This window comes from Homo sapiens, chromosome 8 (assembly GCF_000001405.40).
Source record: "Homo sapiens chromosome 8, GRCh38.p14 Primary Assembly".
Taxonomy (NCBI): domain Eukaryota; kingdom Metazoa; phylum Chordata; class Mammalia; order Primates; family Hominidae; genus Homo; species Homo sapiens.
The window spans coordinates 49,326,557-49,353,597 of NC_000008.11; the positions used below are offsets into that span (position 1 = coordinate 49,326,557).

General features: G+C 35.9%; 2 pseudogenes; one reads left to right on the forward strand and one right to left on the reverse strand.

Moving 5' to 3' along the window:
• On the forward strand, positions 3,654-3,920 carry RN7SKP294 (RN7SK pseudogene 294; annotated as a pseudogene).
• Positions 25,916-26,653, reverse strand: RFPL4AP7 (ret finger protein like 4A pseudogene 7; annotated as a pseudogene).

Here is a 27,041-nt window from a genome sequence, read left to right on the forward strand (position 1 = left end):
AATCCAGTAAATATGGATGCTTCTCTAATCAAAGTCTGATATTGCCTTCCATTCACATTCTCCACTTGTACCATAGCATCATCAAACATCTTTATTATTTGTTTTACAGTCAATTTCCCCTGATAGCATATGAAGTTTTTGAGGGCAGAAACTTCACGGCAACTAGTTTAATGCTTGGCACCAAATAGGAGCTCAATGGAAATTGCTGAAATAATTGCAAACCTGTTGTTACTATGAGTCACACTGAAGAGAACTGTTTTCATGTATAGGAATCTTTTCTATCAAACCACAAAACCATGATAAACATACATTATTCTAATCATATGATCTTTGTCCCATATAGGAGATTACTTAGAAAACTTACTGCACTCTTTAAATATATAGGAAAGTATTATCATGCCACTTTTTAGCCATAAGTTTGGCTAATAGACAAAGATGATAGACACCTCATTCCAAAGAGATATCTGACACCACCATCAGCACTTCCAAGGGTAGGGAGATAAAACTGATTTGTACTTTTAGCCTACAGCAGGAGGAGAAAGTCTGAGGTAAGAAGAGACAGCTGTGGGTCTTCTGTGATTCCATATATCCAAGGAAAAGGGATGGAGAACCCTGTTACTTTAGCTGCTTAGTGAAAGGGGCAGTAGTTGGTCCACTTCTGACAGCTTTTGCAAGGTGGATGCCATGATAGATTTCTAACCTATACCTGAGAAAAGACCAACAGGCTCTGCTGATGGCAGGCCTAGGAGAGGTGACTGTGTGAGGATCTGTTATCCTGTTGTCAGGAAGATGGCTGGGGCAAAGAATAAATAGGAAGGTTCTGTAGATCAGTGTGACTCGTGTAGGCTGCTTGCATGAGAACTGGATGCAGTTACTCAGATTCCATCCAGGTGGTCCACCAGACTTGTGGAAAAGGACAGTTCACAGGGAATAAAGCAAGAGCCCAATAAGAGGAGGTTGACAACCCTTGTTATTTTCTCCCTGGACACAGAGGAAGACTACATTTCCTTGAATGCTTTGCAAATATGTCTGACTTTTGAAAAATAAATTTATTTATGTTTTATTGTACATATTTAAGATATACAACATGATGTTTTGATATACATAGTGAAGTGATTACTATAGCCAACTAAATTAACATGTTATCAGCTCACATAGTTTTCCCTTCCCTTTTTGCTTGTGGTAAGAGTATGTAAAAATCTACCCTCCTACAATATTATGATCTATAATCCTTACATTTTAGATTAGATATCTAGACTTATGTATCCAATAAAACTGCATCTTTCTACCCTTTGACCTATATCTCTCCATTTTCTCCATCCCCAACCCCTAGTAAACACATTCTTCCCTCAGTTTTTATGTATTTTATTATATTTTAGAGTCCACATACAAGTGAGATCATGCAGTATTTTTTTTTCCGCCTCTGGCTAAATTCACTTAGCATAATGTCCTCTAATTTCATCCCTTTTGTTGCAAATGGCAGGATTTCCACATATGTATGCATGTTATATATGTATACAGATGTGTATATATGTATACACACATATGCATATATATGTACATATATGTATACACATTTTATATATGTAGACACATTATATACATATGTGTATATACACATATGCATGTATGTGTACTAGTTTTATGTGTATATATACATACATATGTGTAGATATGTGTATCTATACATATATACACATAAATATGCACACTTGTTTTTATATTTTATTTTATTTTTTGAGAGAGAGTCTCACTCTGTCACTCAGGCTGGAGAGCTGTTGTCACAATCTCAGCTTACTAAAACCTCTGCTTCCTGGGTTCAAGTGATTCTCCTGCCTCAGGCTCCTGAGTAGCTGGGATTACAGGTGCGTGCCACCACGCCCAGCTTAATTTTTGTATTTTTAGTAGAGTCAAGGTTTCACCGTGTTGGCCAGGCTGGTCTCAAACTCCTGACGTCAGGTGATTCATCTGATTCAGCCTCCCAAAGTGCTGGGATTACAGGAGTAAGCCACCTTACCTGGCCTATTTATATGTGTACACACACACACACACACACACACACACACACACACATATATGTATTTTTTTTCCTATACATTCACCCATCGATGGACACTTAGGTTGTTTCTATATCTTGGCTACTGTGAATATGCTGCAATGAACTTGGGAATGCAGATAGAATACGTTCTGCTCAATGAAAGATGGACAGAAATGATAAAGACTACTTTAAGATTTAGCTTTTAAAATATCCCATAAATTATTCTCCAGTCAGGGCCTTGAAGGGCAGATGCTTTAGGTGATGTTCTCACATAGGTGCCTGGGCACCTGAGTTGAATGTGTGGAGCAGAGGCTGTTAATGTTCACATCTGATTTTTACACAATCTCATAAAACTTGTGTGTGCGTGTGTGTGAGTGTGTGTGTTAAGCCACTGTGATTTGGTGTTTTTACAGAACATGACATCGGTGATCAGCTGGAAGAGAGAGAATTCTTCTAACTAGGGAGTTCCAAGTGAGAGAACCCTAGTAATTTTGGTGGCAGAGAGAATGAGTGTTGAAAATTCCATGAAATAATGCTAGGAGGGAATGTTAACACGAGACTAATGAGATCTGCAGATGCAAATGGAGAATTTTATTCTCTAAAAGCAACCTGCAGATTGTGGAGATACAACTTCTGGTGCAAAATAAAAGTGTGCTCTGAGTTGGGGTGGTGGTCAGAGAGTTAGAGGTTATAAAGGCAAAAACCTTGCAGGGCAGGAAAGAGGAGTCAGCGGTGTAAGGACAGGGCCTGGATTAGATGGTCTTTAAACCTCAATCACCAGTGTTTCGTAATTGGCTACTTCTAGGTGTCTGTTGGTGGTCAGCTCAGAAATTTCCAGATGCAGTTGTTTCCAGAAACTCTTTTCTGATTGGTTGCTGAAAAACAGGTTCTTCAACACTTTATAAGAACACAGAGAGTGTGGCCACTCCCTCACCCTTCCATGGCCTCTTGGGTCTGCTTTTGACTTTCGAGCCATAGGGAGTTCATATTTTCTACAACTGGGGGCATGATTTGACCAGAGTGAATCTTTTTTTCATGTTTGTGAGTCCCAAAGAGCCTGGTCGCAGCCCCTTACGAATATAGCAGGAGGGACAAAAACACTTCCATCATACCTCACACCTTTAGCAGGGTGTGAGGCAGAGGGTGGCTCTGAATGTAGTTTAAAGTTATGACCACGTTTAGTTAGATATATTTGTTACTGCATGGAGGGCCTTTCAGTATTTCTAAGGAACAAGAAATAATAGGGTTCATTATTTATTGCGATTATTGCATATCAGTCCACAGTGTTTTCCCCTTAGAATCTGATGCTCTAGTCATAAAAATTGATGACATATTTAAGGACTGAGAGAAAGACAACAGGTGAGATATAGGAGGGTCACATTAGGCACTGAGAGAGTCTTCTGTAACCCTAGTCCCCATTTGCAACTCTGTAAAGTATTATCTCAGGGCACCCACACACTGACTTAGCTCTTATACACCAAACCTACAACATGGGGGCTAGCTACATAGAATTGATAGCTCAATCCAGTCATGCAGAGACATTACTTACCCTAAAATGTACATGCCCTGAATTTTATCCAGGGTCAAGAGAAGAGCTCTTTAAAGAGAATATATTGGATGTGAGGGTGATCTGGCTGCAACATCTGTCACCCCATTGATCGCCAGGGTTGTTTCAGCTGATCTGGCTGGCTAGGCAGGTGTCCCCTTCCTCCCTCACTGCTCCACGTGTGTCCCTCATGAAGCTGTGCGCTTGGTCGAAGAGGATGACCATCCCCAATAGAGGAGGACTGGTCTTCTGTCCAGGGCATACAAGTTACTGAGCTCCCCTGATAGAAACGCCAAACAAGCTCCCAAGAGAATATATTTAAGTGAACAGTTAGGGACAAAAATAAAGTTGCTTAATGATTTCACTGCATGGGTTTGGTTGCTCACTATAGCAATTAGCAGTAATTTCTGTTGTTGCTTTGCAAATATCATTATATCTAGAAGACAAAGAATTCACAACATTTGAAGAAAAGTATTCAGTTGTTCAATATAAAAAAGCATATTTTCCATTTTAGTAAAGCCTCTAAAACAAATGCTAATTTATTAAAATTGAGTGTATTTTTCTTTGAAATCTTTTGGATTTCATTTACTTATGTTGTCTATAGGATTGTGGTAGCCCAGTCATATTGGAAAATAATTAGAACATTGATGCCATTAAAATCTGAGGTAGTGTTTTTCCTTTGAAGTGGTGGTAATGATAAATATCACCTTATTCCACAAGCTTTTCAACTGAAACTGTAGAAGACTCTAATAAAGCTGGCAATTTTTCAAAAAAGTGAAAATGTTATGAAATGTAATGTCAGGTGTTTTATTTCTTCACAGCACTTTCATCTTCTCCCTGCAACCATCAAGTCTTCATAGCACACCTCATGGGTAAGGACACTTATTACTGTTATTTGTTTTTATTTTATGTCTTCAAAGTTATTCTAGCAAAGTGTTGCTGGGACTAAGACTTCGCTACCATTGCTGTCATATTAAAAATAGAAAAAACATTTTAGAGAGCAAATATTTTTGAAAAATATAGATTACAATGCACCAATTTCCTGAGTATTTGCAGCCTAATATTAATATTTTTGATATTTGTTTTTGTCCTGTATTAGACTTCTCTAAATGTTTATAATAGTAATAACTTCCATTTACTGGGTTCTTCATATGTCAGGAATGAGCCTAGGAGCTTTGCGTACATAGTAATATAAAAAGTCAGAGAGCTCAAGTATCTTTCCTAACCGTGAATTTTGATGGAACTGGGACTTGTATGGAACTCTTACTTCAAGGCTACTATTTCCTGTTCAATATTCACCTCACTTTGATGGTCAAGCTTAAGAATTTTACACCATCAATTAATTAACTTACTTTAGATGTCTAAAAAAATTATTTGAAGAGTATTGCTCTATAGTAATTTATGTGATAAACTTACAAAAAATTAACTCGTGCTACAACTCAGTTACTATAAGTCAGTTGTGTAGAGAAAACATAGGTTCCTCAGGAGGCATTATATGTTTAATATCAATAAGAAAAGGGAAAAGAATGATGAGGAGGAAGAGAAAAGTTTATATAGTTCCACCCAGTAAACTTATTGGAATAAATATAATTCACACTTTTGTTTTAAGAGATTCAGCTCTGACTCTTGAATCTCTGCCTTGTCTGTCATCCAACCCACTTCCTTGTGAAAATTCCTCTTCCCCTTCTCCAAATAGGGACTTCAGTCCATGCCACAGGGAATCACATGACTGGTCTCAGGTCTGGGTTCCGTGTCTTGGATCCTAACTGAGCTATTGATTCCATGTAGCAAGTCCCCAGGTCATAGTTGAGTACAGGAGGTAAATCAGCAGGTGGGTGCCCAGAGATAATACTTTAGAGAGTTGTAAATAGGGACTAGGGATCCAGAAGATTCTCTCATTGCTTAATGTGACCCTCCTATATCTAACCTATTGTCCTCCTCTGTGTCCTTGAATATGTCATCATTTTTCATTACTAGATTATCAGGTTCTAAAGAGAAAAAACTCATGCATTGCTATGCAATAATCACTTTCTCACAACATCTAGTACAAAAATTTCTGATGCTAATAATACTTACATGTGTTTTAAAGTGATTATATAAACCTAGAGAATACGGCTTGAATATCTCACTCTTTGATGCTGTTGTTGTTATTCCTATAAACTGATTTTAATTTCTCGAATATGTCACATTACCTAACAACCTAACAGGAGCTGAAAAAAAAAAAGAGGTAGAGCTGCTAGACAATATCAGTGCCTCTATTTTTTAATACAGTTTTTAATAAGTACTGTCTTTTCCTCTTCTGTCTTCTGAACCAACAGATTTTGGGCTCTTCGGATTTATATCATGCATCAGGACTACAGGATTGAAACTTGCATCATTTAAATTATAGTCAATACCTATTAGGTAAGATTATAGAATGTAGTCTGTTAGGTGTCATAACCTATCCTATCAAGCCAAAGCCTGACTTCATGCTAGGCCACAAGCTTGAAGGAAAGAAGGTTGATTCTCCTGAAGAAGGTGGACATACAGCCATATTGCATAGGGATAATGAGGTTTATAATGACAATAAGAATTGATATAATATCATTGATTATAAACACAGTTTGCTTTGTGGTGCTGAGGTGAGAAAGTTGTAACTTGTCAATATGTGTTTACTAAAAGATTAGTTTGAATGGAGAAAATTAACTGAATTGGAGAATAATGAGAAATAAAGACTGAGAGGCCAAAACAAGAAATATTTAACAGATGAACTTTAACACAAAGCAACAGACTTTATACATTCTTTTATTACCTAAAAAGAAAAAACTACCAAATGGTAAGATATTTTTAGAGAACAGTGCAGATAAATATTATTTTAATGGGAACTAAAACAATTCTCCCTCCCCTCCCCTCCCTCTCTCCCTCACTCCTTCCCTCCCTTCCTTCCTTTTTTCAATTCAATTATTGGCAATTTTTTGTCAAGATGCTGTTAACATGCTGCATATAATTCTAGGTGCTTGGAATAAGATGTTAAAAAGTCAGATTTGGTCTTTGGCATCTGTATAGTGAATGATTAACTTTACCCAAAGAGATATCTGGCTTATGTCCAGGCTCCTGGGCGGTAACTTGTAGCCCTTGAAATTTCCTGAGATAGAAGTTTCACCCTATTCACAGTGGATCCCTCAGATCATACTTAATCATTCATGCTAACAAGATGACTCTGGGTGACACCAACCAGAAAGACCAATCATGTGATTAAAAACCATGGAATACTATGCAGCCATAAAAAATGATGAGTTCATGTCCTTTGTAGGGACATGGATGAAATTGGAAATCATCATTCTCAGTAAACTATCGCAAGATCAAAAAACCAAACACCGCATATTCTCACTCATAGGTGGGAACTGAACAATGAGATCACATGGACACAGGAAGGGGAATATCACACTCTGGGGACTGTTGTGGGGTGGGGGGAGGGGGGAGGGATAGCATTGGGAGATATACCTAATGCTAGATGACGAGTTAGTGGGTGCAGCGCACCAGCATGGCACATGTATACGTATGTAACTAACCTGCACAATGTGCACATGTACCCTAAAACTTAAAGTACAATAAAAAAAAAAGATTAAAAAAAAAAAAAGTTGAGGCTTTGGAACAGATGAAATTGACTGGCCTTTGGGGGCTGGGGGACTGGAAATGGAGTTTATCCTTGTGGACAGGTCCTGAGTCATCTATGCCTATGCAACGAAGCCCTAGTGGAAGCTCTGGAGCCTGGGCAGCCTGGGGGCTCCTGTGTGCAGTCCTCTGAGTGCTGCTGCGCATCCACACTGGGAGGGGAGGGCACCCTGAAGACACAGGAGCATGGCAAGGGAAACCCCCGGCCCCAGATTCCACCCTATGCATCCGTTCTTTTGCCTGGTTCTGATTTATATTCTTATGGGACGATCAAATCTTAACTGTAGGTGTTGAGGCTCAGAAGACGATACCCCAAAGTACGGCACCTTGGCGTGCTGAACACTTTGAACTGAAGGAGACCAGAAGGGCCTCAGAAGCAAGTCTGTCTGACCTCCCATTGCCCTGTATTTCGTTGGTCTTTCTCCCCCAAAGCAAAAGATAGAAATTATCCAAGGCAGGTCATAGAAACTAGAACTCCTCTTCCCCAAGGTGAGTCATAAAAAAAAGTCATAAAAAAGCCCAGAAAAATCACTTTCTTCTTTCTCTCTTGAAGACCATCATGCAGAGAAGTTCTGCCCCATATCTGGGTGGGGAGGAAGAAAAGCTATACACAGAGACCAAGAAGACTCTGACCATACAAGCCTTGTTGGGTTTCCCCTTCCGTCTATTACTGTGAGGTCATACCCTTTTGTCCAATCACATTTCCACATGACTTTCCATTCTTTGTTGAATCTAAGCATATAAATAGATACTTTCCCCTGGATCTTTAGGTCTCCATTTCTCACAGTTCCCTCATCATGTATAACTTTGATTAAAGAAATTTGTTATGCTTTTTCTTTTGTTAACCTGTCTTTTGTTACAGGGCTGTTGGCTGTGACCTTTATGGTGGGTGAGGAAAGGTGTCATACCTTTCTGCCCCTACATAAATACAGCACTTTCCTGGGCTCTGGGTCATTCTAGAGAAGTATCAATCATCATGGACTCTGTGGGGCCCCCATAGCTGCAGCCAGTTAGTCAGAAGTGAGGGTGGCCCCAGGGAACCCTGTACCTACAGCTAATATCAGAAGAATTGCCCACGCCTGGCAGCCTGGAGGACTGTCCCTTAACCTTGAGTTGGGCTAGCTCTGGATACTTCACAGGCCTTTTAAAGTAGTGAAAAACAGAGAGAATTGGTGCAACAATGACAGGATGTTGGGTGAAACTGTGAAGTGATCACACAATGATGAATGCAACTCTTGTATCCTCTGCTAAATGTTTTTTCCTCTTTTGAGTAGACTATTTATCCCCTTTCTCTATTTCATGTAACTTCAGGCCATAAATAAATCTACCTTGCCCAAGCATTTTAATGAATTTTTGGAACCAACAGCCACAATTAGATGTGGTTTAGCTTTTCTCAAATACTACCTTTACTTTGGAATAATTTGCCTTTGTGGTTTGTCAGGGTTCTACAGTATAATATTTATTAATATTCTTTTGTCTTGGCTTGAAATAGTTGCTAGCTTATTATAAGGTTAATGAATTGAATTAATAAATAGTGAATTGCAAATATGCAATGTTTTGATAAAATTTTATTTTAAAGTTTAATTCTTAAAGAAAACTCCAGTATGATAAATTCAATTAATTTTACATCTGATAACAGATAGCTTAGAAGATGTGTAGTTTTTTTTTTGAGATGGAGTCTCGCTCTGTCTCCCAGCCTGGAGTGCAGTGGTGCTATCTGGGCTCACTGCAAGCTCCACCTCCCGAGTTCAAGCCATTCTCCTGTCTCAGCCTCCCAAGTAGCTGGGACTACAGGCGCCTGCCACCACCACCGGCTAATTTTTTGTATTTTTAGTAGAGATGGGGTTTCACCATGTTAGCCAGGAGAAGATGCTTAATTTTTAAACGAAATGTTAACTAATTTTTGATGTCTTTTGTGGTCTCATTCTGTTAAAATGAAATGATTTGTTTATTGCCTTAACATGATGTTTTAAATGCAATGAAATTTATAGAAAAGGTAAAACTTTGAAGCTGCTGTAGGGATGAAGGGAAAAGTCCCACTTCACCCTCTGAAGGGTCACAGAAAATTAACTGACAAAAGGCAGTTTCATAGGAGAAAAGGCATCTAAATTTATTTGATCATAGTATTATGTGACATGAGAGCCTTCAGAATGAAGACCCCCACATACAGGGGAAACTGCGCATTTTTATGCTTAGGTTCAACAGAGTATAGATAGCTGTATGGAAACCTGATGAGATGAAAAGGTAGGATCTAATGCAGATAGACTGAGTGGGGACCCCTGGCAGGGTCTGTCTGTCTCGATTCTTCTTGGCCTCTCTGAGTAGCTTTCCTTCCGTCTGGGTGTGAGGCAGGTCTCTATTTGGAATGGGAGTCCTATGACCCACAATCAAACAAGGTAGGTCAGACAATTTTTTAAGGCCAGTTTTTACACAGAATTGGTAGGGAAAGCTAGAGTAATTTTTAGGTTTCATGGCTGGCTTTGGGGAAAAGAGGCTTAGGTTTCCATGACCCACCTTGAAGAAGAGAATTTCTCCTTTCTAGGACTGGCCTCAGGGGAGAATGAGGGGCCGGACACAGGATGGCAGGAAAGAAACCTCAGCTGCTGAGGTTGCTTTTGAGGCCTTCATTTTGAGGTATTCTGGGCCCCAGCACTGCCTAAGAGGAATACTCTTCAGAAGGTATGTGCACCTGTATCATTCCAACCAAGATGGGGCTGTTGAAATAGTGAAACCTGCCATCGAGTCACTGTCAAGGTGGAAGAGCTCCATTGCTATTAAAGAACAAAACCAAGCAGATATATGAGCCCCACATTGGGCTCAGCTCTATGGATTAGTTTGTTAATATATTCTTTGCAGGACCACAGTGTGCAATCTGAATATACAGCAAGAACAGCCGTGTTTGGATAATACGTGCCATTTCACCATGATTATTTATTTATTTTTGAGCTAAATAGAGGAATCACACTAAACTATTCTTGGCATAAATCAGGTTTGTACTCAATTATAATTCAAAACAGTTTCACCTAAAATATTTTACATTTTATGCAAAAATACCTTTCTATTGCATCTCAGTTCATCTGCTAATGGTGCTTTCTTTATGCTAGATCAACACACTTTTTCAAGAGCTGAAAAGTTAACTGTTTGAAATAGTCACTTAGTGAATTTCTGAGATTTGGCATACTTTCCCCTTTGTTGGCCTCTTTTCTCCTCCTGTACTTATGATGGTGGGCGGGACAGGGACAATCGGACAGGCTAACAATTAACATTAAAAAATAAATTATGAGAACTTTGTTTACAACAAAATTTACTTAGGTGTGGCATTGTCATTTGACTTCACAGACTCTGTTGTCTACCAAATAAACATTGCAAATGATTCTGCTTACCAAATTTTTCTGTGACTTTCTCATTGTAATAGCTCCCAAAACCTTAATTTGTTCGTCTAAAATATGCTAAATTGTATTTCAGTATGTTCATAAAATTTAGTATTTCTTATAGTTAATACTTTTTAAAATTTCTTCTGTATTAAGTAAAAAACACCTTGTTATTTCATTTTTCCTCATGGATCGTAATCTTTTTTTTTTTTTTTTTTTTTTTTTTGAGACAGAGTCTCACTCTGTCACCCAAGCTGGAGTGCAGTGGCACGATCTCAGGTTCAAGCTGTTCTCCTGCCTCAGCCTCCTGAGTAGCTGGGACTACAGGTGCCCACCACCATGCCCGGCTAATTTTTGTATTTTTAGTAGAGACCATATTGGCCAGGCTGGTCTTGATCTCCTGACCTTGTGATCTGCCCCCATCGGCCTCCCCAAGTGCTGGGATTACAGGCGTGAGCCACCACACCCAGCTGTAATCTTTAGTGAGCTAGTAAAATGGTTTGCCTAAGATTAAAGCCCTGGTTTGTACCATTTTCCATTCTTCATGATGTAAATACTCCCACTAGGCAGATTTCAAACTGTATATGTAACATCACTGAAGCTGAGAGGTTGAGAAGAGATGCTAACAATCACCTTTCTTAAGCCTCTTCAAGCTGGTTCCAGCACATCACTCATCGAAATTTAGTTACCATAGAACCAGGGATGGCAGAACTTCTAAGTTGCAATTGAAAAAATATATACAGAAATACAGGCATCTTGGATAAATGTTAACCTTTCCTAAATCAATACCTTATATCTGGATAGTAAGACAGGGTAAATGCTAATTTGGTGACTGTATCATTAAATAATCTATGTTAAATTAATTTTCGAGATGAAAGTAATTAAAAACAACCTTAAAGGAGAAGCCCTTCTAGAAGCTTTTATTAGCCACTAATGAGAAACATTATGATCCTGGGAATTAACATATAAATCCAGAATAAAATGCAGATTCATATTGTAAATCTTTTTTATTCTTATTTTCTGGGAATTTGAGAATAAAATTACCAGTTGTGAGAAAATGTAAATTGAAATACATTAAAAAGGTTATTGAAGGCTGCAATTTAACACTATTAAATACAAAGCATGAAGAAATTGGCCATTATTATATTTCTTGTCAGTCAACGAAAAAAAACCTGTTGGTAGGCAGATTATATCTGACAAATGTGTAGGGACTTTTGTTTTATTTATGCTTAGATCCTGAAATAATCATTGCATAATCCATCAGAAAATAAAGCTTTTTATATTAATAAGGAATAAAAACTGGGGACAAATGCCATTATGAATGATATTTATTTATTAATTTTCAATAAATAATTAATTAATTGATTATGGTAATACTGTGTTTTAGAACCATGCGGAGGAGAGGTTTCTAGTTTTAGGACTAGGTAAACTTGAATTCAAATGCCTTTTCTTCCATTTCATAGGCAGACAACTACCTGATAACTCCGAGTTTGTTTCCTCATCTGTGAAATGGAAATAATGTCTTCCATTTGTGGAGTTATTTTAAGGATTATAGAGAGTGTTTGTAGAGCTCTTGGACAAAGAGGAATAAAATAGAGGTTCAGTTAACAGCAGCTCATAATAATAATGTAGGTGGTTAGAGCTGGAATAAGCAATTTGAAGTGAAAATAAAATAAAATCACTGAAACCATTGCTTGTCACCTCTTTGACAACGTATTTGTTCATTAATAAATGGCTGATCTTTTAAATGATTTGTATCTTTAATTGAAATACAATATTTGATTTTTCTTATCTCTATAAAACAAAAAAAGAGAAGAAGAATTCTTTGGAAAGGCTTAGAATGTCAGCTTTTTTTTTTTTTTTTTTTTTTTTGAAATACGCACTACAGAAAGAACAACACCTTGAACTTACCCGGGAAACTTCCGCAGACTTTATTAAAAAGAACTTGGTGGAAATAAATACCACAAGTCAAAGAGATGTAACGACCCCATGGTTCTGTAAGCGATCTGAGTATTTTACAATCTCCCCTGAGCTGTGAAGTACTCTTTTGCTTTGGTGTTATGAAATGTGAAGAATATTTTATGCAAACACTTTGGTCATCTTTTTATAAAAGTAATCCCATTCTGCTAGGCTGTCCAGGAATCTGACTTTTGCTTATAATATTGCCTATAAGGAAAAATGAATCCATATAATCATATTTGCAATGTGCATTTAATGGCATATAATCCCTTTTAAACTTGAGCACTATGCATATTTGTTATCTATTGCTATAATAACCTGAAAACATGGATTAAAACAATAGATTATTATTACTTAATAGTTCATATTGGTAAAGAATGTGTTTAGCTACGTGCTTCATGGCTTAATGAGATTCCAGACAAGGTGTCAGTTGGAGTTTCAGCCATCTGAAGTCTTGAAAGGGGCTGACAGATCTGCTTCCAAACTCATTCATTGGTTTCTGACAGGCTCAGACCCTCCCTAGCTGTTGGCTAGAGATACCAATTCCTTCTCACACGGACTTCTCCATAAAGTTGCTCTCATTATGCCAGCTTGCTTCTCCTTTTGTAAGGTATTACAGAAAGTAAGAAAATGAGCATGGAGAGAAATTCAAGGCAAAAGCCACAGCGTTTTGATAACCTAACAAAATCAGTGGCATCCCAGCATTTCTGCCATTTTGTATTTTTCAGTAAAGAGTCACTAGATCCAGCCTACACTGAAGTGGTAACGATTACACAAGGGTATGGATTCCGGGAGACAGAACACTGTGGCCCATCTCAGAGTGTGCCTGCCACAGGCACTGGCTATAATGATAAAATAGAACATTGAAGAAGGAATGAGTGTACTGGATGTCTGTCTTTTATCCTACTAGTTTTATTTTCATACAACTCTTGGAAATTGAACTGTGGAGTCTAATACAGTTCAAAACTCAACTGCCAACTTGATTTCAATCTCCTGTTGCCTTACTCCCAAAGCAGGCTGGACGTGTCCAGGGCCTTCAGGTGAGGAGATAGGTGGGGTTTTCTTTCACTCCTTACTCCCTTATTATCTTAAGTCTAGCCCACCCATCCACTCACTCCTCTGTTACGTGAGTTAAATTGGGAGCTATAAACAGTCATAGTAATAGTAAAAGTTTTAGACTTATAATTTTAATTAAAAGCATATTCCCAAGATTATAGGCCTCAGTAAAAGAATTCCCTTTTCTCATTAGGGGCACACTGGCATTGAATCTATTTCTGTCTCCTTATTAAGTGACTCCCAGAATCCCAGGAATTGTCATACCATTATTTACAACATCTCCTTAAACCAAATTTGCTACTCTTTCACCCATAGATGGTTAGCAAACATTCTGCTTTTGTTATTTTCCTAAAAGCATATAATAAATCTTTTATGGAAGGAAAGGAAAAAGAACAGAAAAAAAGGAAGGCTATAACAAGCAAAAGACTTTCATTATTTGAACTACTTTCCAGTGGCATATTTCTCTTTCTTCATATACATTTTCATTCTGGGGAAATAATGTCTTATATTCATAGAAGGCAGACTAAAGGCCCACAAGATGCCATATGTACTCCATGGATATTGTGAATATAAATAAATTAACCCAGATGAGCTCGATATGATCACAGAGCTCCTAAAGGCAGGAGAAAAAGGGCATTTTAAGAACCAGAAAGGCCCCACATACAAAGCCTGGCTTGATGATGATGAAGAGGCCACATGGAAAGTGTGGAAAGAAACTGAACTTTGCCACAACTAAGGATTTTAGAAGAGGACCCCACACCTCAGATAAGAACAGCAGTCCACACTGACACCTTGGTTTCAGCCCCACGTAGCCCTGGGAAGAGAATCCAGCCATGCCATACAGGACGTTAGACCTAGAGTAATGTAAGCTAATGAATGGGTATTGTTTTAAGATAGTAAGTAAGTGAGATTTTGTTAGGGGACCAATAGGAAAACCTATACCATGTGTTTGTTTGTTTTACTTGGATGGCTAAATATATTTATAACAGAGAGTGTGCATAGATTGAGGGGTATAGACCCTGGCTCTTTCTATGGGTGAAAATGTGAGATCGAGATAGATACTCCTTTGACCCTGGGCAGTGGTTTGCACCTGTGCATGCACAAGAATCATAATCACTTTATAATCAATTCTGCATTGATTGGCCTGTTCCATTGAGAAAATTATCCACTAAATATTTTTTTTTCACTTGACGTAGTTGTATCATGTAATACAGCAACGATCTTAGGCTTATTTCCTGTTTTCCTCTGCCCATACCTGGCTCACCTAATGTGTCATAATCCCCCATCATATTAAGTGTGTGTTTAAATACTTAACATCATTTCCTGTTTATATATTTGTTCCTACAGATCCCTTAACCTCCTGATCATACTCTTGAAAGTTAAGAGATGTGTATTTTACTTACATTGATACCCAGCACTTTGCATGGGCGACTGTCATGTGTTCAATGCTTATTTAATGAATGGTTTATTTAATGAATAATTGCATCTTAGTTTTATAAGCTATAAAGTGTGCTTTTTTATTTACTATCTCTCTATATAAATGCATTTACTTTTTTCTTTTTCAGTTCCTAATTTTGAGAAACCATGTTTTCTCTAGACCAGCTGTTTCAAGTTATTTCTATTTCAAATAGGAAATTTTAAAGTTTCAATGTCAGGAATAATAAATCTAGGTTATTATAATAAAAAACATTAGAAAAGTATTCACTTTTGATACAACGTGTGGCTTTATAAAGTTTTATCTTATAAGATTTGCACATTTAATAGATGACAGATCTTTAGAAAATAGTAAATGAAATGAAATGATATAAATTTTTGTCAAAGAAAATAATTCTATAATGACAAGAGAGATAATTAAAATAACTAGTAAATGTTCCTAATTTATGCTGTTTAGCAGATGTAGTTCTAATAAAAAGAATTAGATATATGCAATTAGCACTAAAATTCTAACTTGTTTTCAGAATATTAAAATAATTGCCAAGAGTTTATAGATATGTCAAGTCATGATGGCTTTTCTCTAATTGTGAAATTGTAATACATATGTCATTGCAACGTACATTTTGCATACAAACATAAAGCACGTGTAGTTGACATGGAAAACAGGCTTAACAGCTGCTAGAGTAAAATTAATGTCTTCAAATTCTCAGAAGATGAATATTTTCCTCTTGTGCACTCATAAAATCTGATGGAGTTTAAGATCTCAGTTCTGGTAACTAATTTGGACAGATGTCGGAAAAAAGGATCTAAGAGACATAATTGGGTGATGTCACAGAGCATAGCAATAAGCAGATGTGAAAGTCAGAGTGTCCTCCTGCCACCCCCCCGGTAAGAAATACCATGGCTATCGGTGCCTGCACGGGAGAACTTGCCATGTGTGAATCATGTGGACAACTGCTTACTCAAATGCTGCTAAAATTGTATGCATCATAGTTGCATGGAGAAATGCTAAAACACCTTTCTTATGAATATGTATATATACCCATGTAATTATGTATGATATAAAATGATGTGTCATATACAACAAGCATAGAATACATTCTATTGGTGTTACCATGCTTTATGTTCATCACTTTATGTATCCACACCCTTGTCCACATGACACTGCAGTTCCCCCATAGAAGATGATGTGTACTTCTCAGTTCCATAGATGTTTGATTGATCTTTGTCCAATGGGATATCAGCAGATGTGATGGGAGGAAAGGACCAGTTTACACTTGCCATCAACTTGGGAACATACATCAGGTAACCCAAGGTCTAAGGTATGAGAGAGAAAGGTGGAGGCACTCTATACCCAAGCTGCAGCTTGGAGCCAAGCCCAGGCAATCCAATCCTAGGTCAGACAACCCCCAGCCAGCACAGCTGTGTGAGCAAGAATAAATGATTGTTGACTGGGGCAATGAGCTTTGGGGTGACCCGTTACACGGTATTGTTATGATAACAAGGGACACAATGCCTTCCGAAGTAATTAAACACATGCACAGAAGGATCCCCGAATATTCAATACATATCCAGTTAACTTTAATATAGTTAAAAAATGTTGATAAGGATGATTTCCTCCAAGTATTTCCACTGTGGCTGTATTAAAGCCAATAGAAAGACTTATTGGCAGTAACTGAAACCTCAAATGTTCATTTTCCTTTCTGTATGCCATTCTGTTTTTCCCTTAGGTGAAAACGCAAAAACAATTCTGGGAACAGCATAGGAAGAAAAACACAGACACAATCTAGATTTTCTGACAAGTTCCCCATTATATTGAAAGCAAAATGCTGTATTTTACAGTCTTGTCACACTATGTAGTTACTAGCAAGTACTCTGGACAACATTCAAGCAAAGAAAGCAGGAAAAGGCACATTGAACCACCTACTGTGAGGACTGCAGGAGTAGAAAACTCTCAGCTGTAGATATTGAAGGAAGAAAGCCTAGTTTAAGGGCTGGAAAGAGTTTTCATTTTGTTTTGTGATGTTGTAGATTATACTCTTGCAGGTGTTGTGAACACACCTACACGTTTTACTAGTTCTGTCTGTTATGATTTTGTAAGTCAAATATTTCTCTTCCAAAGTGCTTCATTATTTGTATTTTATTTCCCATGTATTAATCACACAACTCAGATAAACAAATATAGCAAATCCAGTCAGATCAAATAAATCTAGTTTGCTAAAGACAAAGCATATGGGATCTTTGACCCTAAAGAAGTTAATAACATTCTGTTATTTCATGCCTCAAAAAGACAAGAAATGAGAACCCCGCGGCCAAAGTATTAGGTAAAGGTTTATATTCATAGTTGTTGCTACGTGCAAAAAAGAAAAAGGAAATTCTAAAATGAAAATGAGGTCATTATTAATAAATAATAATTAATTAACCATTAGTAGCCACTGGTGCAACCTCATAAGCTAATGTTCTTCTAAAACTTCACTTTGTTTCTTTGCCTGTTCTTTCATAATTGCACAGGATATTTAGTTTACGTTTTTCCTTGTATGATAACTTTTACCCACACTTGTGCAATAGGGTGTATATGCATTTAAAAATGAAACAGCTGAAGTTGTTCTGAAAATGTCAGTAAATGTTTTGCATTTGTACATACATTTAAAGACAAACTTGGAACTAACAGAAAGCCTTTTATTTATTTTTTGTTGTTGTGACTTATTTATTTTTCTTTTTTGATTGTTTGCTAATACCATATATTTAATTAAAAAACTCAATTTAAATGTGTGACTGTTCTAAGAATTTATAACTATACTGTATCAGTTTTTTCATGACTGAAATTAGCTTTGTTGTTTTCAAGTTAAAAAATTAATACACGGTCATGTAAAACATTTAGGATAATATTAAGATCCCAGGAGTAGAAATAGAAACAACTCCTAATGTTTTGATATAGAGCCTTATAAAGGACATCAGTTTGGAACTTAATTTTAATGTGCTGTGTACTTTTTAAATGGATCGCTGTACCTAGGAAAAATAGTAAAATAGGCCAGGTTTATTGATTTGTCTCAAGTCCTTTTCCCTTCATTTCTGGGATAGGCAGCCCCGCCCTCTTTTAAAGGCATATCATATCCTTCCTACAGATGTCACAGGCCCTCCTCTGAGGGATTTTGACGTGTTAATGCCATAGCTTTTCTGTGTTCCACCCCCTTTCTCTTTTTTATAGTGATTTCTAATCAACAGGTTTTTTAAGAGTGCTTTTTTATGCTTCTGTTTGTTAATATAAGAAATTATGATTTGTAATAATTATACAAATCAGAATATACACAATTCGTATAATTGTGGTAACATGTCAATATATATAAGATAGTGTTGCTCATTTACATGTTAAGTTTCTTACTTCGGTTGAGACCTTACTGAATCTAGGAAGTAAGTGGTAATATGGGGTAGGAACTGAAAAGTTTTTCTACAAAAACAAAATATAGCAGAGAGTGACTGTTGTTATACAAATGCATTTTGTTGATTAAAAGCCTTTACATTAAAAGAAAATCTAGCACAGATAATTTTTTCATAATTTTTACAGCATTGTTTTGGTGAAAATGACCATAGAAAACCTGCAACTCTAAAAATATCCATAGTCAATAAATGTTTACTGAGTGCTAGTGAGCAATATAACACAAATGAGAGACTCCACTTTTTAGCCTGAAAGACAAACATAAATTTTATATTTTTAGAATGCCCCTCGGGAGATAAAATAAATATAAACTCAGAAGTAGACACTAATAGCTGCTCTTCCAATATCCATTCTCCCCTCCAACTTTTTAGGCAGTGCTGTGCCTTACCATAAAATGACCTTTACTGGCTTTCTTTATAGATAGGAGTTGTCCTGTGAAACAATTCAGGCCAACTGGAAATGAGTTGTTGGAGTCGGGCACGATGGCTCATGTCTGCAATCCTAGCACTTTGGGAGGCCTAAGTGGGCAGATCACCTGAGGCCAGGAGTTGGAGAGCAGCCTGCCTAACATGGCAAAACCCTGTCTCTACTAAAAATACAAAAATTAGCCGGGCATGGTGGCGGGCACCTGTAATCCCACCTACCTGGGAGTCTGAGGCAGGAGAATTGCTTGAACCAGAGGGAAGGAGGCTGCAGTGAGCCAAGATCGGGGCATTGCACTCCAGTCTGGGCAACAAGAGCGAAACTCTATCTCAAAACAAACAAACAAATAAACAAACAACAGAAAAAAAAAGAAAAAGAAGAAAGAAAAGAAAAGAAATAAGTTGTTGGGAAAGGCTTCTTGAATGCTAATGCTATTTAAAAAGGAGTAGGCTTAAATAAGGTAAAGATGTCACTGGTCCTTTGCCCTTTTCCTTCCAGGAATATGGATGTGATGGTTTGGGAGACAATTCCCCTGGGTCGGGCATTTCTGCCTGTCTTGCAAGCAAGGCTCCGACTACCATCTGTTCCAGAATATCTTTTCAAAGGCCTTTGTTAGCAAATGGCCTTGGAAGATATAGTGTCTCTCTCCAGAGTAAAGGACAAGGCCTAATCACGGAGCACAGCTCAGAGCTCAGCGCCTGTAACATAACCCTGTGCATGTGCAGGCCTCCCTCTGGGTCCACCTGCATGGGAGTCGAAGGCAACAGTGATGATACTCATGTTGCCTGCTGAGTCCTAAAGTACTTTTTCATTCACAGGAGACTTGTGACTTCTACCAGCATCTATAAAATGATGACAGGGTAAATTGTAATCTTGTAAGCAGGGTAGAAATCTCAGAGCTTCAAGTATTTTTAGCAGGTGGCTGGGGCAGAAAAGAGTTTTATAGAGATAGCATTATGATTTTGTCTACAATCCATTTTGATTTAATTTTTAATTATGAAGTGACGTAGCATTTAATTTTTTTTTTGATGTAGATAGCCAGTTCTCCCAGCACTATGTTCAAAAAGGCTGCTCTTTCTTCCATTGACCCTTGTTAAAAATCAGTTGACATTACATGAAAAAGTTTATTTCAGGACTCTCAATTCTATTCCATTGATCTATATGGTCATCCTAAGAGTACCATATTTCTTGATTACTTTTGTTTTATAGTAAGTTTTTAAACACAAAGGCATATGCCCTCCAACTTTTGTTCTTTTTGTTCAAGATTGTTCTAGTTATTTTGAATCCCGTAGATTTCCAAATAAATTTTAAAATAAATGTCATTTTTCTGCCAAAAAGGTCGCTGGAATTTTGATAGGGATTATGTTGAATCTGTACATCAATGTGGGATGCAATGACATCTTAAAAATATTGTGATCCAATCCATGAACATGTGATATCTTTCTATTTATTTGTCTTCTTTAATTTTTTTCAACATTTTGTTGTTTTCAGTTTAAAAATCTTATGTTTATTTCTTAAAATTTATTCCTAAGTATATTTTTGATATTACTTAAGTGAAATTATTTTGTTTCATTTTTATATTTTTATGACCAGTATATGGAAATATAGTTTACTTTACTTTTACATACTAATTTTATGGTATTTTTTATTTGTGGATTCCTTAGAATTTTCTGTACATAAGATCCTATCATCTGCAAATAAAATATGGCTTTTTCCTTTTCAATTAATACATCTTTTGTATCCTTTTCTTGCCTAATTGCCCTGGTTAGATTCACCAGTACAGTGGTGAATAGAAGTGGCCAAAGCAATAATTCTTGGCTTATTGCTGATCTTAGGGAGTAAATATTCTGTGGATTACAATTAGGTAAAATGTTAGTTATGGGTTTTTCACAGATGTTATCAGGTGAAGAAATTTCCTTCTATTCTTTGTTTCTATCATGAAAGAAGGTTGGATTTTACAAATATTCTTTCTAAATATTGAGATTATCATGTGGTTTTGTCCTTTATTCTATTAATAGAGAATGCTTCATGTATGTATTTTTATAATAAAGCAATCTTACATTCTTGTGATAAATCCAGTTTTTCATGGTGTATCCTTTTTTACATGTTGCTTTGTTTTGTTAGCATTTTATTGAGGATACAGTTGTCTATATTTTTAAGGGATTCTGGTCTGTGTACCTTTTCTTTTCCTGTGGTGTCTTTATCTAAATGTTTAAAGAAGAATTAACATAAATCCTTCACAAACTTTTGCAAGAAGATAAAGGGATTTAACACTGCCAAACACATTCTATGAGGCCACAGAATAAGATGCCAAAACTAGACAAATCATCACATATGAAAAACATTTTTTCATTGATTTTTTCCCACTGTTTTCTAGTCTCTGTTTTGTTGTTTTAATGCTAAGCTTTATTTCCTTCCTTCTGCTTGCTTTGGGCTTAGTTTGCTATTCTTTGACTATTTCTTAAGGTGAAAGTTTAGGCTGTTGATTCGAGAATATGAGGCTATTGATTTCAGTTAAATATGGCAGGTTTTCATTATACATGCATACGTAAGCCCTTATTTAGCAGTATTCCATAAATATGTTTGTTGTGTGTTCAATTTTCATTCATATAAAAGCATTTTCTAATTTCCATTATGATTTTTTTTCATTGATGTGTTAGTTACTTGGAAGTGGAAGTACTTTAATTCATTGCTTAATTTCACTATATCTGTAAATTTCCCAAACTTTCTCCTACTGTAAATAGACATATTGGAGTGCCAAGGTACTAGAGAAGCACATGCGAGATAACAGGCAGCAGTTTATGTTTCCTATTCAATCACATCTACATAAATGCATTCTTTGTTTGATATAACAAATTATAATAAAAATTATAATTTAATAATACAAATATGGGATTCTAAATTAGGTCACTTAAGCCTAAGGACATTTAGGAGGGTCAAAACCATCACAGTGTATTCTCACAAGGACTGAATGGAAGAAAAATATTTAAAAAATAGTACCATAAATATTTTCATAAATCAAAATGAGCTTTGCATAATTATTTCTGTTCTGTCTTTACAGGGAACTGTTTGCATAGCCATAGATTATTTTAAAAATAAGGCAACATAAAGGGGATGAAATATTCTGTTCCTATTTAAAAATATATTTTTGTTATTGCTAGAAAGTATAAACTGAAGGCAAAATGATACTTCACTGGTGGTATCTGGGAGAACACAGACGATCTAATGAAGAAGAGTTCGAGAGCTTCGGCAACCCACATATGACCATCTCCACCTGCAGAACTTCATAAAAAGATATATTGAAAATATGAATAAAAGATAAACAACACATCAAACCTTTTGAGAGTATTTAGCGATTGGACAGCTACATGATTGATAAATTTATTGCAATGGTAATGACAGGAAAGAAAGAACATTAATCAATATATAATTCCTTTAAGCTCAAATCTTTTATATAGCTTTCTCCCCAGGATTTTTTTTGAATACAATCAAAGCCAGTTTCAAAAACTGCAGCAAACATATTGTGTGCTGTGCTTCACCAATAACATTACACAGCCCCTTTTGCTGGTGTCATCTGATATCTAAGCATGATGTGTTGCAGTTTGTCTACTCCATCTCATTTCTACCATCATTTCTCTTCAGTGTCTACCACGTGGTAGGCACTATTCTAGGTACAGAATTCTGAGCACATATAGTTAGGATTTGAGTGGTTTTTGGGGTTTGAGTTAGTGAGTGGAATTTGGTAATAAATAATTTTAAATGTAGGGACGAAGTGCAGCTGAAAGGAATTTTTTCTCTTTACATCTCTCTTTCTTTGGAATGCTTAGCTCTCATCACATGCCAGGCCCCACGTGCCAGCCCTGCTGTCTCAAGCTTTGCCGGAGGTTGGACATTGTCATCTGTGCCACTGCTCTGGAAGCAGGGAAGCAGAGCAGCCACAGGTCCCAGCATCAGAAGGGCTTCTACAGAGGAATCTATGGACTCTTCTTGAACTTGGTATATATCCTTAGCCAGCACAAGGGCATAGAATAACAATTTCAATCTGATTAATTCTAGATGTTGTTTTACTCCTAAACCTTAGGGTATGATAATATAAAGAAGATTGAATGAGAGGTTTTCATTTGTACAACATGAAATCTGATAATTCAGGAATGATGTTGTAAATAATGTAGACATTTTTCAAACTGGCAGTTGGTGAAAAGAAAGTTAATAGCAAACCAAAAAATAATAAAGAATGAAATGAAAGACTGAATAAATATGAAAATAATTTGCTTTCTGGTAGTTTCTTTAAAAGATCCCCAAATTGCAAGAATCTTACTGTATTAAATTTCATCACATTTTGTTCTTTTGAGTAAATATCAAGAGTTTTCAGAGGTCCTTTGAGACTGAAGTAAAGGTAATGATTAGTTTGATTAATGTCACTAATTTATATAAAAATGCAAATATTGTAATACTCCATAACACTCTCCAAAAGATTTTGCTTCGCTTTCATTATGTAACCACTCTTATTTTCAATTTTCTTTTGCCCCATCAAGCACGTTTTTCTCTCAATATGTTATGTTATCACTCTAAATATAATTTTGTTTTATAAAAGTTTCACTGGGATTATTTTGACAACACATTCACATTTTTTCATTCAATCCCTATTTCCATTGTGGTAATTGTCATGAGACTTGCATTTCTGGAGAGGAAGAGTGGAAAGCACTCTATTATTACAGCCCAGAAAGAGTGTTGAAGTCACTTTTTCCAGAGAAGCACAGCACAAATACACGGATTGCTCATGTTAAAGGGCAAAGCCTCAGCACATTGGGCACCTTCATAATTTTGTGATAATGTAAGTATTGTTAAATATGTTTACTGGGGCTTTGTAACTGAATGTTGCCCTCAAAGTCTAGACAGAATTCATGTGTGGCAAAAGCAGTAGAGCAGAAATCTTAAAAATATTGTTTATAAGGCATATTTGTATCTAGTTACAGTGAGTATAACATACAGTATTACTCTTGAAATGCCACTTTCTTAAAGGCATGTCCATAAAATTACTCCAAAAATATAATATCAGGTGTTAAAACATCAGAGGATATTACCTTAGTTTCTTGTGCCAATGTAGCATTGTGAACTTGAAATTTTGCAGTGTTCAAAATATAGGAAATGCAAAGAGAATCTATCAATCTTCAACAAGTTAATTCTAAACTGACATTGATATAATAGTTTCTAAAAAAAAAATTCTGAAGTTTTTTTTCTTTACATTTGGGAAGATAAAGTTTTCAGAAGAACATTTCATATCCATGAAGAGAAGTATTTGCCCTGCAGAAATTAGACTAATTTTCATTTTAACTGGTCTCATATTCCATTCATTCTAAAGGGTTTCACACATATGTCTCAATATTGTACTAATTATGTTACATTTAACATTTGCAGTTCTCCTAAAAAAACTACATGGTTTTCTAAATAAAAATTACTTTTTTTCTAATGAGGAATCTTTGAATGTTTGAGATATTCAACCCAGATATTAGGTCTCCTAGTGAGTCATAGGATAGGACAGATTCTTGAAAGCCACCACAGAGGTCTTTTCTCATTTTGTTTTAACTTTTTATCTATGGAAATGTTAAAGCTAACACAGAATTACAAAGAATATATAATGAATTCTCATGTGCTCGACATATAACTTTAACAATTGTGTACATTTGACCAATTTTGTTTCATTTACATACCAACTACATTTTAAAAATATTTTGGCTCTGGAATTTTTTTTTAACTCACAGATGATGTCATTTTATTGATAAATAAGTATTCATCTATAAATACATTGTTTTTACTGAAACTAAGTTATTTTTTCTATAAAATTTTACATATTCTTGATCTGCCCCATTTCATCTCCATGATGTCATTGTTCATGTTCCTTATACTCTACATTTTTTTGTAAATTTGTTGATAAATCTAGAGGCTTAATCATATGTAGTTCTGATAGTTAAAAGAAATTATTTTATAGGTGATCCTTATTCATTGCCTCCATCCATTTTTATTTTCCACTGGGGGCTGAAAAAACAAGGTATCCAAATGCAATCACTCCTTCTGCATGCACTAGCTGGAATTCTTCTATAAAGAACTTCCCATCATCAACTACTTGGTTACCATGGCTACACTGCACACAGTTCTGCTGTGTCCTCCTTGCGGAGAAGGCTCCTTCTGGCCTATAAGTTGAAGTTTAAAGAGTTCTTCAGGTCTTTACATTTTTCTAAAATCTGATTCTACATTTTTTAAAAAACAACGTCAGTTTCCATTAATCCCCAGAACTTAATGTTCCAGTGAAGAAAGATCCCTCATACATATATATTTTTCTGCTTTTCTCAATTTTAATGATGCTGTTATATCAGTAAGAATTTTGTTTTCTTCCATATTCTAAACTTTTGCTAAATTCCTAACTTATTCATGAAGATCCACTGATATTTCTCGTTTGAATTCATCCTATCCTTATGATCAATATTAGATCATCACTTCTCATTTATTTGATATATTAGCTATTTATTTGCAACTGAATAAAGATTCCGAAAATGACCATGCTTTGTAGACCTCAGCACTCCTATTACACCTCTTGTCCCATGGTTTTTAATAAAAACTTGTTATATTTATTTATTTATTTGTGGGGAGAAAAAAAGCAGCAACATTTCTGAGTTACAAATTTGATGATATCACTGTTACAGTATGCTATTTACATTATTTAGTTTTTTTATTCTTTCTGAGAGCTTAGAATGTATTTATTGGAACAGAAATTTAAACATAAGACCCAAAAGACTACTGTGACAATACTTAATCTTTGAAATGTAATTTTTAAGTCTACTTATTTTGTATTAATAATTTATGAAATGTTCCATATTTTTGTGCTGTAACTTTGCACCAAGGAGAGGTTTTCAGCTTTGAACATAAAGTGATTTTCTCTAAATGTTTTTGTGGCTAGTGGTTTATTTGTCTTGCTCAGGATAAACTGGAGATTTGGTAGTGCTAAGATTCATTTCAGGACAGATAAGAAGGATAATCATCATTAATTGAATCTGAAGAAGCAAGAAATGGGTGCAGTGGCTCCATTGCTAATGTTATAAGAGAAAATGATTCCAATATCCAAATCCAAACAAATGTCTATTTGGAGTAACCAGAAGGTAGTTAAAGGCACATTACTGGCTCAGAGGAGCTTTTTATTTCTCAAAACCACAGTCCACAGCCAAGTTCTGAAGACAGCAGAACTTCCTCTTGTCGATTAATAGATTCTTTGCAAACACCCAGATCCCACGATTTGCTTGTCCCCACGTCCACCTCCCAGTAATGGTATCCAAAGGTGAACCGAGGGAAGCCTATTGACAATGACTGAATTACAAATATCTAGTAATAATAGGGAAGGTACAGTTAAAACTGGCATAAAATTCATAAATCTTTGTGCATTAAAAATACTATTAATTGAGTTTCTATTCATGTTATTAAAACTTATAGGAATAGGGAGACTTTAAAGTCCATTAAAACTGTCATATCTAACTCCTTTTTTAAAAAATAAATAAAGTCCAAAATCTGAACATTTTTTTTCTTCTGCTTATTTTTTGAAAAGATGTCTGGATAGGCATTGCAGTGTCATTGACAGGCAGAGCTGCACCATTGACTTATTTCATGTGTTGTGATCAGCATGACCAGTCTGGACAGCTGCTTTGGTGTTTACCTTATAAAACTATAGGCAATATTTGCTTGAAGTACAAAGTAGTCTAACTTTATAGTAGCATAATTTTGTCCAGTAATTTTGTCACAAAATAGATAAATGGAATAGCAATTTAAATGCATAATATACTACTTTATGCCAATACAGTAAATCTCATCAAATTTAGGAGATTTTCTTAAACTTTTTTACCTTTCTGTATTCATTGAACAGAACTGTCTTCTACTATATAATGATGCTTGCATGTGTCTGAAATAACAGATTATCTGAAGGTGAATTGCCCAGTATTACTGCAACAATGCATAGTTTCTAGTTTCTATTATTAAAAATAGATAAGTTTAATTATTTCATTTCCATTTATACGGTTTTAATATATGATCATATATTCTGTTCAATTCATTTTAAGAAAGACCACGAGGAAAACATGA